The sequence below is a fragment of the Homo sapiens genome, chromosome 4 (assembly GCF_000001405.40).
Source record: "Homo sapiens chromosome 4, GRCh38.p14 Primary Assembly".
In the NCBI taxonomy this organism is placed as follows: domain Eukaryota; kingdom Metazoa; phylum Chordata; class Mammalia; order Primates; family Hominidae; genus Homo; species Homo sapiens.
This window is the reverse complement of record NC_000004.12, coordinates 188,551,386-188,567,333: the sequence shown is the minus strand read 5'-3', so window position 1 is coordinate 188,567,333 and position 15,948 is coordinate 188,551,386. Positions and strand designations below refer to the sequence as shown.

Below are 15,948 nucleotides of genomic sequence, written 5' to 3'. Positions count from 1 at the left end.
AATAGAGCCAACTGATCTTTGACAAAGGAGCAAAGACGATGGAGCAAAAACAGTCTTTTCTACAAATAGTACTATAACAACTGAACATCCACATGCAAAAATAAATAAACCTAGACACAGACCTTATACTCTTCACAAAAATTAACTCAAAGTGGATTCTAAAACACAAAATTATAAAACTCCTAGAAGATAACATAGGAGAAAAATCTAGATTAGCAAGAGTTTGGCAATGACTTTTTAGATATACCAAAAGCATAATCTCTGAGAGAAACAATTGATAAACTGAACTTCATTACAATTAAAAAGTTCTGCTCCATGAGAGGCACTGTCAGAAGAATTACATTCTCATGTGGGAGGCCATATCTGATAAGGGACTGCTATTCAAAATATAGAAAGAATCCCTTAAATCTAAACGATAAAAAAAAAAAACTTAATTAAAAAATGGTCCAAAGACCTAAATAGACACCCAACCAAAGAAAATATACAGATGGCAAATAAGCACGTGAAAGATGCTCCATACCATACGTCCTCAGGGAAATGCAAATTAAAACAATGAGATATTACTACTCACTTATTGTAATGGCCAAGCTCCAGATCCAACACCAAATGCTAGTGAGGTTAAAGAACAATGAATTCTCTTTCGTTGCTGATGGGAATGCAAAATGGCAGTCACTTTGGAAGAGAGTTTGACCGTTTCTTACCAAACTAAACATTCTTTTATTATATGATACTATAATCACTCTCCTTGGTATTTACCCAAAGAAGATGAAAACATGTCTACATAAAAACTTGCACTTAGAGCATTTCTATTCATAATTGCTAAAACTTAGAAGAAATTTAGATAGCCTAGAATAGGCGAAGGAATAAGCCGTTGTACATCCAGACAATGGAAATTTTCTCAGCGTTAAAAAGAAATAAGCTTTCAAGCCATAAAATCATGTGGAAGAAACTTAAATGCATATTACCAAGTGAAAAAAGCCAAATTGAAAAGGCTACATAATACACGATTCCAACTATATGACTTTTTTTTTTTTTTTTTAGACAGAGTCTCGCTCTCTCGCCAGGCTGGAGTGCAGTGGCGCAATCTCGGCTCACTGCAACGTCAACTCCCTGGTTCAAGTGATTCTCCTGCCTCAGCCCTCTGAGTAGCTGGGATTACAGGCAAGCATCACCACACCCAGCTAATTTTTGTATTTTTGTTAGAGACAGGGTTTCACCATGTTGGCCAGGATGGTCTCGAACTCCTGACCTCGTTGATCTGCCTGCCTCGGCCTCCCAAAGTGCTGGAATTACAGGCGTGAGCCACTATATGACATTTTTTTAAAGGCAAACTATGGAGACAGTAAAAATAATCAATGGTTGCCCAGACTTAAGAGAGAGGGAGACTGAATAGGTGGAGCACAGAGAACGTTTAGGACAAGAAACCTACCCTGTATAATGCCGTAATTGTGTGTACACATCATTATACATTTCTCCAAGCCCACAGAATGTCTAACACCTAAGGTAAATTTGGGGTGAGAATGATGTGTCAATGGAGGTTAATCAGTTGTAACACATTTACCACTCTTGTGGGGGCTTTTGATAATGGGGGAGGCTATGCCTGTATGGGGGCAGTGGATATATAGGAAATCTCTATACCTCTGCTTAATTTTGCTGTGATCCTAAAACTGGTCTAAAAAATAAAGTATGTTCAAAATAAAAAGCAAAGGCATTCAAGAGATAATGTTGAATTTCACAAATCATAGTTTTCTCCCCTTTGGCAATCTGTTTGTGTGGGGTTTCACTCCACGTTCTGGGAAACATCAATAACCACAACCCTGAGGCTTTGATGAAATATGCAGGATCTTTTGCAGTCAGAAGCCGCACAGATTTGTACTGTGAGTTTGCACATCACGGATATTTTCTTTATTTCTACAGAAATGGATTTAGTGAGAGCATTTTTTGATAAATTTAGCAAAGGTCACTAAAAATTAGTAGCACGATGTGTCATCTGAAAGTTCATGGCATGCCTGGTGGTAGGCTTCGGGGAGTTTTTTTTTTTTAAAGTTTCCTACCAGTTTCTTAGAAATATCAGCACTTTTCATCAGTCAGGGAAAGATCAGAAATATCTACCAAATGCCTTTTTACTGGGTTGAGCAAGTGTTAACCTCCAATCTTATAATTTTGTCTTCTTAAGAGAACACTATCGTTGCCTCTCTTGCATGACTGTGTAAATTCTTCACATTCATCCATCGAAAAAAACAGGAATAAGGTAGATTGCATGCTCACTTTACTGAGTACTAAACTGTTTTTCCCGTGCTCTAAAGAATAGCTGATAATTAACTGTCTTTAAACTTAACACTTGAGAAGAGCTTAGTGTGAGGAAAAAAGGCAAATTTAGGTTTTACAAAAAATAATTCTTCAACTGTATGTTCTTATTTTGTCAGAGAACAGGCCAGGACAATTTACATTCTCGAAAGCCCTGGGCGTTCATTCTAAATAGCAAAGGTTAGACAGAAGGTTGTGACCCTTTCTGCTTGTTTTAGCACAATCTGCCCATGTGATAGAATTATAGCCTTACAAAAAAATCTACAATGGAAATAGCTCCAATGTGGAGCAAATGCTCTGAAGGACAGAGTAAAATTGCTTTTTAATATGTGCCATTATTATAAAAATAACTTTATTAATATCAAGTTGAGAAAATAATAATTGCAATAAACTAATTTTGCTTTTTCTAACTCTATGCAATTTTATAATTTAATTTAAATAAACATATCAATACAAATTCTTATGCTTTTTTCTATACGTCAACTACATATTAGAATTATGATTCATATCTGATTATGGTCATTGATATATTTTACTTTACACAAAGGTTATTTTTCTCTGATTTTGAGTTTTAGAGAATAGTCTACACGCACATAGGCTCACATGCATGAATATATACACACACACATACATGTATCTAAACACACATATGGAAATATATACATTTGATCCTTGAACAACATGGGGGTTACTGACTCAGAGTTGAAATTTTTGACTCCTCAAAAACTTAACTACTAAGGGGGGAGGAGCAAAGATGGCCGAATAGGAACAGCTCCGGTCTACAGCTCCCAGCGTGAGCGACGCAGAAGACGGTGATTTCTGCATTTCCATCTGAGGTACTGGGTTCATCTCACTAGGCAGTGCCAGACAGTGGGCTCAGGTCAGTGGGTGCGCGCACCGTGTGCGAGCGGAAGCAGGGCGAGGCATTGCCTCACTTGGGAAGCGCAAGGGGTCAGGGAGTTCCCTTTCTGAGTCAAAGAAAGGGGTGACCGACGGCACCTGGAAAATCAGGTCACTCCCACCCGAATACTGCACTTTTCCGACGGGCTTAAAAAATGGCACACCAGGAGATTATATCCTGCACCTGGCTTGGAGGGTCCTACGCCCACGGAGTCTCGCTGATTGCTAGCACAGCAGTCTGAGATCAAACTGCAAGGCGGCAGCGAGGCTGGGGGAGGGGCGCCCACCATTGCCCAGGCTTGATTAGGTAAACAAAGCAGCCAGGAAGCTCGAACTGGGTGGAGCCCACCACAGCTCAAGGAGGCCTGCCTGCCTCTGTAGGCTCCACCTCTGGGGGCAGGGCACAGACAAACAAAAAGACAGCAGTAACCGCTGCAGACTTAAATGTCCCTGTCTGACAGCTTTGAAGAGAGCAGTGGTTCTCCCAGCACGCAGCTGGAGATCTGAGAACGGGCAGACAGCCTCCTCAAATGGGTCCCTGACCCCTGACCCCTGAGTAGCCTAACTGGGAGGCACCCCCCAGCAGGGGCACACTGACATCTCACACGGCAGGGTACTCCAACAGACCTGCAGCTGAGGGTCCTCTCTGTTAGAAGGAAAACTAACAAACAGAAAGGACATCCACACCAAAAACCCATCTGTACATCACCATCATCAAAGACCAAAAGTAGATAAAACCACAAAGATGGGGAAAAAACAGAACAGAAAAACTGGAAACTCTAAAAAGCAGAGCGCCTCTCCTCCTCCAAAGGAACGCAGTTCGTCACCAGCAATGGAACAAAGCTGGATGGAGAATGACTTTGACGAGCTGAGAGAAGAAGGCTTCAGACGATCAAATTACTCTGAGCTACGGGAGGACATTCAAACCAAAGGCAAAGAAGTTGAAAACTTTGAAAAAAAATTTAGAAGAATGTATAACTAGAATAACCAATACAGAGAAGTGCTTAAAGGAGCTGATGGAGCTGAAAACCAAGGCTCGAGAAATACGTGAAGAATGCAGAAGCCTCAGAAGCCAATGTGATCAACTGGAAGAAAGGGTATCAGTGATGGAAGATGAAATGAATGAAATGAAGTGAGAAGGGAAGTTTAGAGAAAAAGAATAAAAAGAAATGAGCAGAGCCTCCAAGAAATATGGGACTATGTGAAGAGACCAAATCTACATCTGATTGGTGTACCTGAAAGTGATGGGGAGAATGGAACCAAGTTGGAAAACACTCTGCAGGATATTATCCAGGAGAACTTCCCCAATGTAGAAAGGCAGGCCAACGTTCAGATTCAGGAAATACAGAGAATGCCACAAAGATACTCCTTGAGAAGAGCAACTCCAAGACACATAATTGTCAGATTCACCAAAGTTGAAATGAAGGAAAAAATGTTAAGGGCAGCCAGAGAGAAAGGTCGGGTTACCCTCAAAGGGAAGCCCATCAGACTAACAGCAGATCTCTCGGCAGAAACCCTACAAGCCAGAAGAGAGTGGGGGCCGATATTCAACATTCTTAAAGAAAAGAATTTTCAACCCAGAATTTCATATCCAGCCAAACTAAGCTTCATAAGTGAAGGAGAAATAAAAAACTTTACAGACAAGCAAATGCTGAGAGATTTTGTCACCACCAGGCCTGCCTTACAAGAGCTCCTGAAGGAAGCACTAAACATGGAAAGGAACGACCGGTACCAGCCGCTGCAAAATCATGCCAAAATGTAAAGACCATCGAGACTAGGAAGAAACTGCATCAACTAAAGAGCAAAATAACCAGCTAACATCACAATGACAGGATCAAATTCACACATAACAATATTAACTTTAAATGTAAATGGACTAAATGATCCAATTAAAAGACACAGACTGGCAAATTGGATAAAGAGCCAAGACCCATCAGTGTGTTGTATTCAGGAAACCCATCTCACGTGCAGAGACACACATAGGCTCAAAATAAAAGGATGGAGGAAGATCTACCAAGCCAATGGAAAACAAAAAAAGGGTTGCAATCCTAATCTCTGATAAAACAGACTTTAAACCAACAAAGATCAAAAGAGACAAAGAAGGCCATTACATAATGGTAAAGGGATCAATTCAACAAGAAGAGCTAACTCTCCTAAATATATATGCACCCAATACAGGAGCACCAAGATTCATAAAGCAAGTCCTGAGTGACCTACAAAGAGACTTAGACTCCCACACATTAATAATGGGAGACTTTAACACCCCACTGTCAACATTAGACAGATCAACGAGACAGAAAGTCAACAAGGATACCCAGGAATTGAACTCAGCTCTGCACCAAGTGGACCTAATAGACATCTACAGAACTCTCCACCCCAAATCAACAGAATATACATTTTTTTTCAGCACCACACCACACCTATTCCAAAATTGACCACATACTGGGAAGTAAAGCTCTCCTCAGCAAATGTAAAAGAACAGAAATTATAACAAACTATCTCTCAGACCACAGTGCAATCAAACTAGAACTCAGGATTAAGAATCTCACTCAAAACCGCTCAACTACATGGAAACTGAACAACCTGCTCCTGAATGACTACTGGGTACGTAACGAAATGAAGGCAGAAATAAAGATGTTCTTTGAAATCAACGAGAACAAAGACGCAACATACCAGAATCTCTGGGATGCATTCAAAGCAGTGTGTAGAGGGAAATTTATAGCACTAAATGCCCACAAGAGAAAGCAGGAAAGATCCAAAATTGACACCCTAACATCACAATTAAAAGAACTAGAAAAGCAAGAGCAAACACATTCAAAAGCTAGCAGAAGGCAAGAAATAACTAAAATCAGAGCAGAACTGAAGGAAATAGAGACACAAAAAAACCTTCAAAAAATTAATGAAACCAGGAGCTGGTTTTTTGAAAGGATCAACAAAATTGATAGACCGCTAGCAAGACTAATAAAGAAAAAAAGAGAGAAGAATCAAATAGACACAATAAAAAATGATAAAGGGGATGTCACCACCGATCCCATAGAAATACAAACTACCATCAGAGAATACTACAAACACCTCTACGCAAATAAACTAGAAAATCTAGAAGAAATGGATAAATTCCTGGACACATACACTCTCCCAAGACTAAACCAGGAAGAAGTTGAATCTCTGAATAGACCAATAACAGGAGCTGAAATTGTGGCAATAATCAATAGTTTACCAACCAAAGAGTCCAGGACCAGATGGATTCACAGCTGAATTCTACCAGAGGTACAAGGAGGAACTGGTACCATTCCTTCTGAAACTATTCCAATCAATAGAAAAAGAGGGAATCCTCCCTAACTCATTTTATGAGGCCAGCATCATCCTGATACCAAAGCCAGGCAGAGACACAACAAAAAAAGAGAATTTTAGACCAATATCCTTGATGAACATTGATGCAAAAATCCTCAATAAAATACTGGCAAAACGAATCCAGCAGCACATCAAAAAGCTTATCCACCATGATCAAGTGGGCTTCATCCCTGGGATGCAAGGCTGGTTCAATATACGCAAATCAATAAATGTAATCCAGCATATAAACAGAGCCAAAGACAAAAACCACATGATTATCTCAATAGATGCAGAAAAAGCCTTTGACAAAATTCAGCAACCCTTCATGCTAAAAACTCTCAATAAATTAGGTATTGATGGGACGTATTTCAAAATAATAAGAGCTATCTATGACAAACCCACAGCCAATATCATACTGAATGGGCAAAAACTGGAAGCATTCCCTTTGAAAACTGGCACAAGACAGGGATGCCCTCTCTCACCACTCCTATTCAACATAGTGTTGGAAGTTCTGGCCAGGGCAATTAGGCAGGAGAAGGAAATAAAGGGTATTCAATTAGGAAAAGAGGAAGTCAAATTGTCCCTGTTTGCAGATGACATGATTGTATATCTAGAAAACCCCATTGTCTCAGCCTAAAATCTCCTTAAGCTGATAAGCAACTTCAGCAAAGTTTCAGGATACAAAATCAATGTACAAAAATCACAAGCATTCTTATACACCAACAACAGACAAACAGCCAAATCGTGAGTGAACTCCCATTCACAATTGCTTCAAAGAGAATAAAATACTTAGGAATCCAACTTACAAGGGATGTGAAGGACCTCTTCGAGGAGAACTACAAACCACTGCTCAAGGAAATAAAAGAGGATACAAACAAATGGAAGAACATTCTATGCTCATGGGTAGGAAGAATCAAGATCGTGAAAATGGCCATACTGCCCAAGGTAATTTACAGATTCAATGCCATCCCCATCAAGCTACCAATGACTTTCTTCACAGAATTGGAAAAAACTACTTTAAAGTTCATATGGAACCAAAAAAGAGCCCGCATCGCCAAGTCAATCCTACGCCAAAAGAACGAAGCTGGAGGCATCACACTACCTGACTTCAAACTATACTACAAGGCTACAGTAACCAAAACAGCATGGTACTGGTACCAAAACAGAGATATAGATCAATGGAACAGAACAGAGCCCTCAGAAATAACGCCGCATATCTACAACTATCTGATCTTTGACAAACCTGAGAAAAACAAGCAATGGGGAAAGGATTCCCTATTTAATAAATGGTGCTGGGAAAACTGGCTAGCCATATGTAGAAAGCTGAAACTGGATCCCTTCCTTACACCTTATACAAAAATCAATTCAAGATGGATTAAAGGCTTAAACGTTAGACCTAAAACCATAAAAACCCTAGAAGAAAACCTAGGCATTACCATTCAGGACATAGGCATGGGCAAGGACTTCATGTCTAAAACACCAAAAGAAATGGCAACAAAAGACAAAATTGACAAAAGGGATCTAATTAAACTAAAGAGCTTCTGCACAGCAAAAGAAACTACCATCAGAGTGAACAGGCAACCTACAAAATGGGAGAAAATTTTCACAACTTACTCATCTGACAAAGGGCTAATATCCAGAATCTACGATGAACTCAAACAAATTGACAAGAAAAAAACAAACAACCCCATCAAAAAGTGGGTGAAGGACATGAACAGACACTTCTCAAAAGAAGACATTTATGCAGCCAAAAAACACATGAAAAAATGCTCATCATCACTGGCCATCAGAGAAATGCAAATCAAAACCACAATGAGATACCATCTCACACCAGTTAGAATGGCGATCATTAAAAAGTCAGGAAACAACAGGTGCTGGAGAGGATGTGGAGAAATAGGAACACTTTTACACTGTTGGTGGGACTGTAAACTAGTTCAACCATTGTGGAAGTCAGTGTGGCAATTCCTCAGGGATCTAGAACTGGAAATACCATTTGACCCAGCCATCCCATTACTGGGTATATACACAAAGGACTATAAATCATGCTGCTATAAAGACACATGCACACGTATGTTTATTGCGGCATTATTCACAATAGCAAAGACTTGGAACCAACCCAAATGTCCAACAATGATAGACTGGATTAAGAAAATGTGGCACATATACACCATGGAATACTATGCAGCCATAAAAAGGATGAGTTCATGTCCTTTGCAGGGACATGGATGAAATTGGAAATCATCATTCTTAGTAAACTATCGCAAGAACAAAAAACCAAACACCGCATATTCTCACTCATAGGTGGGAATTGAACAATGAGATCACATGGACACAGGAAGGGGAATATCACACTCTGGGGACTGTTGTGGGGTGGGGGGAGGGGGGAGGGATAGCATCGGGAGATATACCTAATGCTAGATGACGAGTTAGTGGGTGCAGCGCACCAGCATGGCACATGTATACATATGTAACTAACCTGCACAATGTGCACATGTACCCTAAAACTTAAAGTATAATAAAAAAAAAAGACAAAAAAAAAAAAACTTAACTACTAATAGTCTACTGTTGACCTGTAGCCTTACTGATAACATAGTTGACTAATGCATATTTTGCATGTTATATGTATTACATACTATACTCACTATACTTTTACAAAAAACCTGAGACTAGAGAAAAGAAAATGTTATTTTGAAACATCACAAGGAAGCCAGGCATGATGTCCTGTGACCTGCTTCAACATCCCAGCTACTTGGGAGGCTGAGGCAGGAGGATCATTTGAGCCCAGGAGTTTGAGGCCAGCCTCGGCAAAATAGAGAGACCCCCCACAACTAAAAAAAAAAAAAAAGAGAGAGACAGAGGAAATAAATTTACTATTAAGTGGAAGTGGATCATCACAAGGGTCTTAATTCTCATCTTCTTCACATTGAGCAGAAGAGGAGGAAGAAGAGGGCTTGGTCTTGCTGTCTCAGGGGTGGCAGAGAGGGAAAAAATCTGCTTATGAGTGGACCATGCAATTCAAACCCATGTTGTTTAAGGGTTAACTGTTTATAAATATACAGTTATCTGTTGATGATTTCTTATAAACAACCATGTTCTCATACCATGGGCATTTATTGACATTCAGCCAAGTAATGGTTAACAAAAGTAGGATTTTCTACTTGGACAAATTCCAGTCTTTTAGATGCTGCCATTAAAAAAAAGGGCAGCAAGAACTCAAATGTAATTCATAAATGTATATTTACATATATAATATTTTAAATGTATATTTTATAGTTTATGGTTATATCACATATATAATGATATGATATATATATATATTTGAGATAGAGTCTTGCCCTGTCACCCAGCCTGGAATGCAGTTGTATGATCACAGCTCACTGCAGCCTTGAACTCCTGGGCTTAAGCAAAACTCCTGCCTCAGCCTCCAGAGTAGCTGGGATCACAGGCATGCCACCATGCCTGGCTATTATATTTTTATTTATATTTTATAGGTATTTTGTGTGTTCTGGATTTTTGTCATTGTTTTAAATTATTTTTTATTGTACATGCTTATGGGATACAACATGATGTTTTGACATATGTGTACATTCTGAAATAATTAAATCAAGCTAATTAACATATCACACATACTTATTTTTGTGTTGTGGGAACATTTAAAACCTACTTTCAGCAATTTTCAAGGGTAGAGTACATTATTGTTACTACATCCGCCAAATAGATCTCCAGAATATAGTTCTCCTAACTGAAACTTTGTACACTTCGACCGACACATTCTCATACCATTCTACTTTCTGCTTCTATGGGTTCGACTTGTTTACATCCCACATTTAAGTGGGATCATACAGTATTGTGTTTCTATGCCTGGCTTATTTATCTTAGAATAATGTCCTCCAGGATCATCTATGGTTTTGTGACTGACAGGACTTTCTCCTTTTCTCAGCTGAATTGTATTCCACTGTGACAAAGGGGCAAGGCCAAGACAGAATGTCCTGGGGGACCTGTCACCGGACGCATGCAAGGAATGGAAAAGAAATACATTTTGAAATGTACATAATTAAAAATTGAATGAATAAAGTATGAATTGAAAATTTTCTCTCAAGTAATGGAAATTCTCTCTTTTCAAAAATATATGATATAATAAAGCATATACAGAAATCAGTACATTAACTTTGGTGGAAAATTTCATAAAATAGAATTTATCAGAATTACTGCATGTGTAGGGCACAAATCTGAAGCAGCTCCAAAAACAGCAAGCATGTAAGTAACAAACCCTGTGTGAAAAACGAGATCAGCCGGGCATGGGGGCTCACGCCTGTAATCCCAGCACTTTGGGAGGCTGAGGAGGAGGGATCACCTGAAGTCAGGAGTTCAAGACCACCCTGGACAACATGGTGAAACCAGTTTCTACTAAAAATACAAAAATTAGCCGGACCTAGTGGCGGGGGCACCTATAGTCCCAGCAGGAGAATCGCTTGAACCCCAGAGGCAGAGGTTGCAGTGAGCCAAGATCGCACCACTGCACTCCAACCTGGGTGACAAAGCGAGACTCCGTCTCGAAAACAACAACAGCAACAAAAAAAAGAAAAAACAAGTTTTTCCTAAATTTGAAAACAATCCTTGAAATTTTTATGTTTCATTAACAAGTTATAATGCTAAAAATACTTTTCTAAACACTGTTTAAAATAAATCAACCATACTAGTAGAAAAATAGAATTATCTTTCCTTTTTATAGAAAGTGACATTACAAAAGCGCTGCCATTGGAAGAGGAGATTAAATACTATTCAGCCAAAAACATAGGAAAAGAAGGACTATGGAACAATATCCGGCAAAACAACATAAAAACACGTGATTTTCTAGACTTTGTGAAGATTAGATATTTGTTAGTTTTTCAAAAGCTAGTATTATTATTTCTCTTCTCGTTCTAAATAAATATGCATTTCTCTATGTAATTTGGCATTTATGATTATGTATGTCGCAAATTGTACAAATACATCCTATTAGAACCAAATCTAATGTATTCTAATTCAATGTCTCATTAGCTGTGTCCCCAATACACTTTTTCATATCAACTAACATGAGATGAGTGGAAGAGGGGAAGTCAGAGTGAAAAAACCAGTTGTGGTTAAAATATCTTATTTTGTAGCAATATCTGACTACATGAAGGCGCTTGAACAATGGAAGCAAGTCCATGCGCTCCTCCGTCCGTCCTGCTCTGCTGCACCTGCGTATCCGCCGGCTCTCTCCACAGTTCCACGGGCAGGTGCACAGTTACTCAACCGTCAGCGCGGTTAGTGCACATCAGGCACTGTGCTAGGTGCGGGGTCGCAACGGCAAGCGAAACCAATTCTCTGTTCTCACAGAGCTTTTCCCTCAAGTAGAGAGCAAGCGAATACGAAAATAACCATGATCACCGTAAATAGTTGTATAAGCTTTGCGGAAAATAAAACACGGCGCGACAGAAATGCCCAGGGCCATGCAGCTTGGGATGGTCTCCGAAGGGGACTCTGTCAAGATGATCTTCGGAGACTCCATAAACAGGCTGAACACACATAAACCAGCCCTGTAGATGTTTGAGGAGACATTGTTGCCAGTGGAGCAAACGGCAAGTGCAAAACTCAGGGGCGGGCTAGTTTTAGGGGATCGGGGGGTGCAGGAACGGTGGAGTGGCCAGGGGCAGGATGAAGGGGCGCGGCAGGAGATGAGGGCTGAGCAGCAGCAGTGGGCTTTCAGGGCCAGGCTAGTAAGGCTTCTGGATGTTATTCTAAACGCAATGGGCTAGTCCTTCTGAATGCCCCAAAGGCACTTCAAATTCAATCTATCCAAAACCAAATTCATCATCTTTCTACCACAGGTATATTTATGCTTCCATGTGGCTGGTATCTGTTAAGAAAATCATCTCCCCTCACTTGGACAACCTAAAAAAGTTCCTATTCTTCCCTGATGATTGATGCTAGTCTATTACCAAATGCTATCGATTGGTTCTTCCTCCTAAATGTCCTTCACTAGGAACTCTTTTACATGCCACTGCCCAAGCTCCAGCTTACCCGTCTCTTACCCCTCCCTCTCTCACCTGGATCTCACCTCTCACCTCAGTTTGCTCTCAAAAGGCCCACTGCTCCTAGTTTTACTGCCTTGAGTTCCGCCTTCCACAGCAGCTGCCACGAGCTTTTGAAACCAGCATCTGTCATCTCTCTCTGAGTATAGACTGCAGTCTGTACCCTCAGGCCTGGAATCCAGAGCCTTTAGGTCAGCCTCTTACCTACAGTTCCAGTCTCCAACCTGTCAACCTGTCAAACACATTCATTCTCCAACAAAACCTAAGTGCTTCCAATTTTCTTTATGCCCCACTGTTTCTAAACTCGATGCTTTTGTGCATGCTGTTTCTGACATTTGGAATCACCCACCCCCTGGCTGTGCCCCTGCAGAATTCATCCTTAAAAACTGAGTTTCAGTGTCATGTTTTACAAATTCTTCCCCTGAACAGTCACACTTTCTCTCCATCTCTCTCTCTTTCTCTCTCTCTCTCTCACACAAACACACACACACCCCACCACCTCCACGTGCCTCCTCTCTGCCTCTGTGCCACCTCTGCTGTATTTTGCGTCCCGCATGACTTTAGAATTATAGTCTCTCAGTGCTGATATCCTTATAATGATTCTATACCCCTGCCTCAGGCTGTATGTGATGAGGACCCTGCAGAGCTTGTGCCTCAGCAGTACTACTATCAATCATCATAATAAAATGTTAAACTTACAGGGAATGTAAAGACCATTAAGGCCATCCCTTCGTATTACAAATGAGGAAACTGAAAACCAGAAAGTTTAAGCGCTAAGGTCACCACAGTGTTTTTAGAACCTAGAATGGCCTCAAATTCCCTAACTGCTGAGCTTTCAGGCACCACTTTCTTGTCTCTCATCTTCACTCCCATGGATGACACCTTAAATGAAGGGCTGATGAACAGCTATGGATCCAGGTATTTTATTTATACCAAGAACTTGATCAATATTTGTAGAATGAATGAATGAAACAACAGGATTTGCTTGTAATAATCTAGTTGATCCCGTCAACAACTGAGGGTTGCTATGAACCCACTTACTGCTTCACTCATTAATTCTTTTGTGAAATGCTTGTTCACCACTTTTAACATGTTTATATGCCAAATACCATACTTTGTGTAGAAAAGGAAAATCCAACAGGGAACATGGTCTTTGCACTCCAAAAAACCACAGAGAAATAGACATATAATCCAAACTTTAAAGCAGAGTTAAAAGGGTTGTCATAGAAGTGTGAATAAACCAAGTATGTATTTTTAGAAAAGATCAACAAAGTTTTTTAGAGAAGATAATATTTGAGCTACCCATTTATTATTGCCAAGCACTAAGCTTGTTAACAAAAATAAAAGAGGGAAACAAAAGCATAAATAACAAAATGATCAACCTGTGTTAGTCAGCTTGAATTAATCTCGTCACTTATAACACTAACTTATTCTATAAAATTAAAGATGAGTCAGTGATATTCACATGCCCATGACATTTAGAATTACTTAATTTTCCACTTTATGTATTATTAGTCTAGTTTAGTCTTGAGCACTTCAGCTTTGAAGTTTAATTTTAATTTTCTTTCTGAACCCCTTGAAATTGGAATATGTCCAGAATCTGTTTCTGATTCCCCCTCTACTGATAGGAACAACATGCTGACTTTACTTGCCACAAGAATGTTGCTATGATGAGGTTCTACAAAAATTGGTTTGGCAAATTGAAATAAAATGCAAATTTTCGTCTGCTCTTAAAATAAGACTGTATCCTGTTTCACCGTTTAACAAAGCCTGACAAACATTTTTCACTTGGTTTTTTATATTTGTTTGCTTGATCTGTGTCCAAAGGTAATATGCACATGAGCTAAACCATTCTTGGTCATGAATTTCTGGAAATCTAAAAAAGAAATGATTTTTGGACATCACTAGCTTGATTTCCCAACATAAAAGTTTATAGTGTGTGCATTAACAACCCAGAACTCTAGCCATATATTTGAGTTTGGCTTGTTTATTGTACAGAGAGCCTCTCATCATTCTTCAACAGTCATTTTAAAACAATTAATTCTCTCACTTGTTCCTACTACTGAAGAGAAAGACGTCGTGGCATTTTTCTTCCTTTAATGTGAGAACCATCTCATAAAATGAAGAAATATTGTTAGTTCTAGTAATCGAACTTTTCAAAAGAACACATAAAAATATATTTAATGTAGAAATAGAAGAGTATAATCATCATTAGATATGCAGCTGTTATATCTATATACATATATAACGCATATGTATATAATGTAAGCATTTATAATAACGTTTAAAATAATGTATCATAAATTTGCATTATTTTTTAAAGTACTACGAAATGCATGCCTCAATATACCCTCACAATTCAGTTATTTATGTGAAAACATTGAAACTAAATGACTTACCCAAGGTCACGCAGCTAAGTTATTCACTAAACCGGGCTGTATTAAGAGAACGTTTAGACCATGTTGAAGATTATTCTTATATATACAGATTCACTCCTTACGCACAATCTTTTGTTTTGTGTTTAAATTTCCAAAGGGCATTTTTGACTTTTACGTTGGCTTAGTTCAAGTGGAAATTAATTTCCTCTTGACGAGCATTATGAGTTTTTAAATATTCCCTGTGCACACATTTGCCGAAAAGATTATTTGGATTACATATGTTCATGGCAGAGATATCTAAGCTATATTTTTTTTTATTGAGATGGAGTCTTGTTCTGTTGCCAGGCTGGAGTGCAGTGGCGCATTCTCGGCTCACTGCAAGCTCCGACTCCATGGTTCAAGCAATTCTCCTGCCCCAGCCTCCCGAGTAGCTGGGATTACAGACACGTGCTACCACGTCCAGCTGATATGTATTTTTAGTAGAGATGGGGTTTCACCATGTTGGCCAGGATGGTCTCCATCTGTTGACCTCATGATCTGCCCGCCTTGGCCTCCCAAAGTGCTGGGATTACAGGCATGAGCCACCGCACCCGGGCCTAAGCTTTGATCATGCATACATATCTTTATATAACTAGCACCATTTGAAGTTAATGAGATCAGTATTCTATCGTGACTTTTGGAAACGAGTTTACAACTTTGTGGTTTTGCTATGTTTTACATCTTACTTAAATATTATTTTGGTCTTATATTTTTAATCCTGTGCATTTGATAGCTGTGTGAGACAATTTTATATAAATAGCCATATCAAAAAAATCTCAAAACACAACCAAATGGTACTAATTCATGTAACTAAAAGTAGCTATTCTAGTCTGTTGTTGTGATCAGTATTTTAAAACCCAAGCCCAAGTGCATGATTGACAGAGCTCCTATGGACACACCGCATGTGAGGACACAGCTGTGGAAAGCCGTCAGAACAT

General features: G+C 39.4%; 1 long non-coding RNA gene across 1 annotated transcript in view, besides 1 other annotated feature; it reads right to left on the bottom strand.

Annotated features, from left to right (window-relative positions):
* The window catches only part of LINC01060 (long intergenic non-protein coding RNA 1060), a 146,331-nt gene that overhangs the window by 34,575 nt on the left and 95,808 nt on the right, over positions 1-15,948 (bottom strand). The gene's annotated exons all lie outside the window — the stretch shown is intronic.
* Positions 1,207-1,411: a silencer, noted in NCBI's record as "fragment chr4:189487077-189487281 (GRCh37/hg19 assembly coordinates)". NCBI's record gives its function as "represses an EF-1alpha promoter that drives an FKBP-Casp9 reporter gene in an ReSE screen in HepG2 liver carcinoma cells {active_cell/tissue: HepG2}" and the evidence as "EXISTENCE:reporter gene assay evidence [ECO:0000049][PMID:32094911]".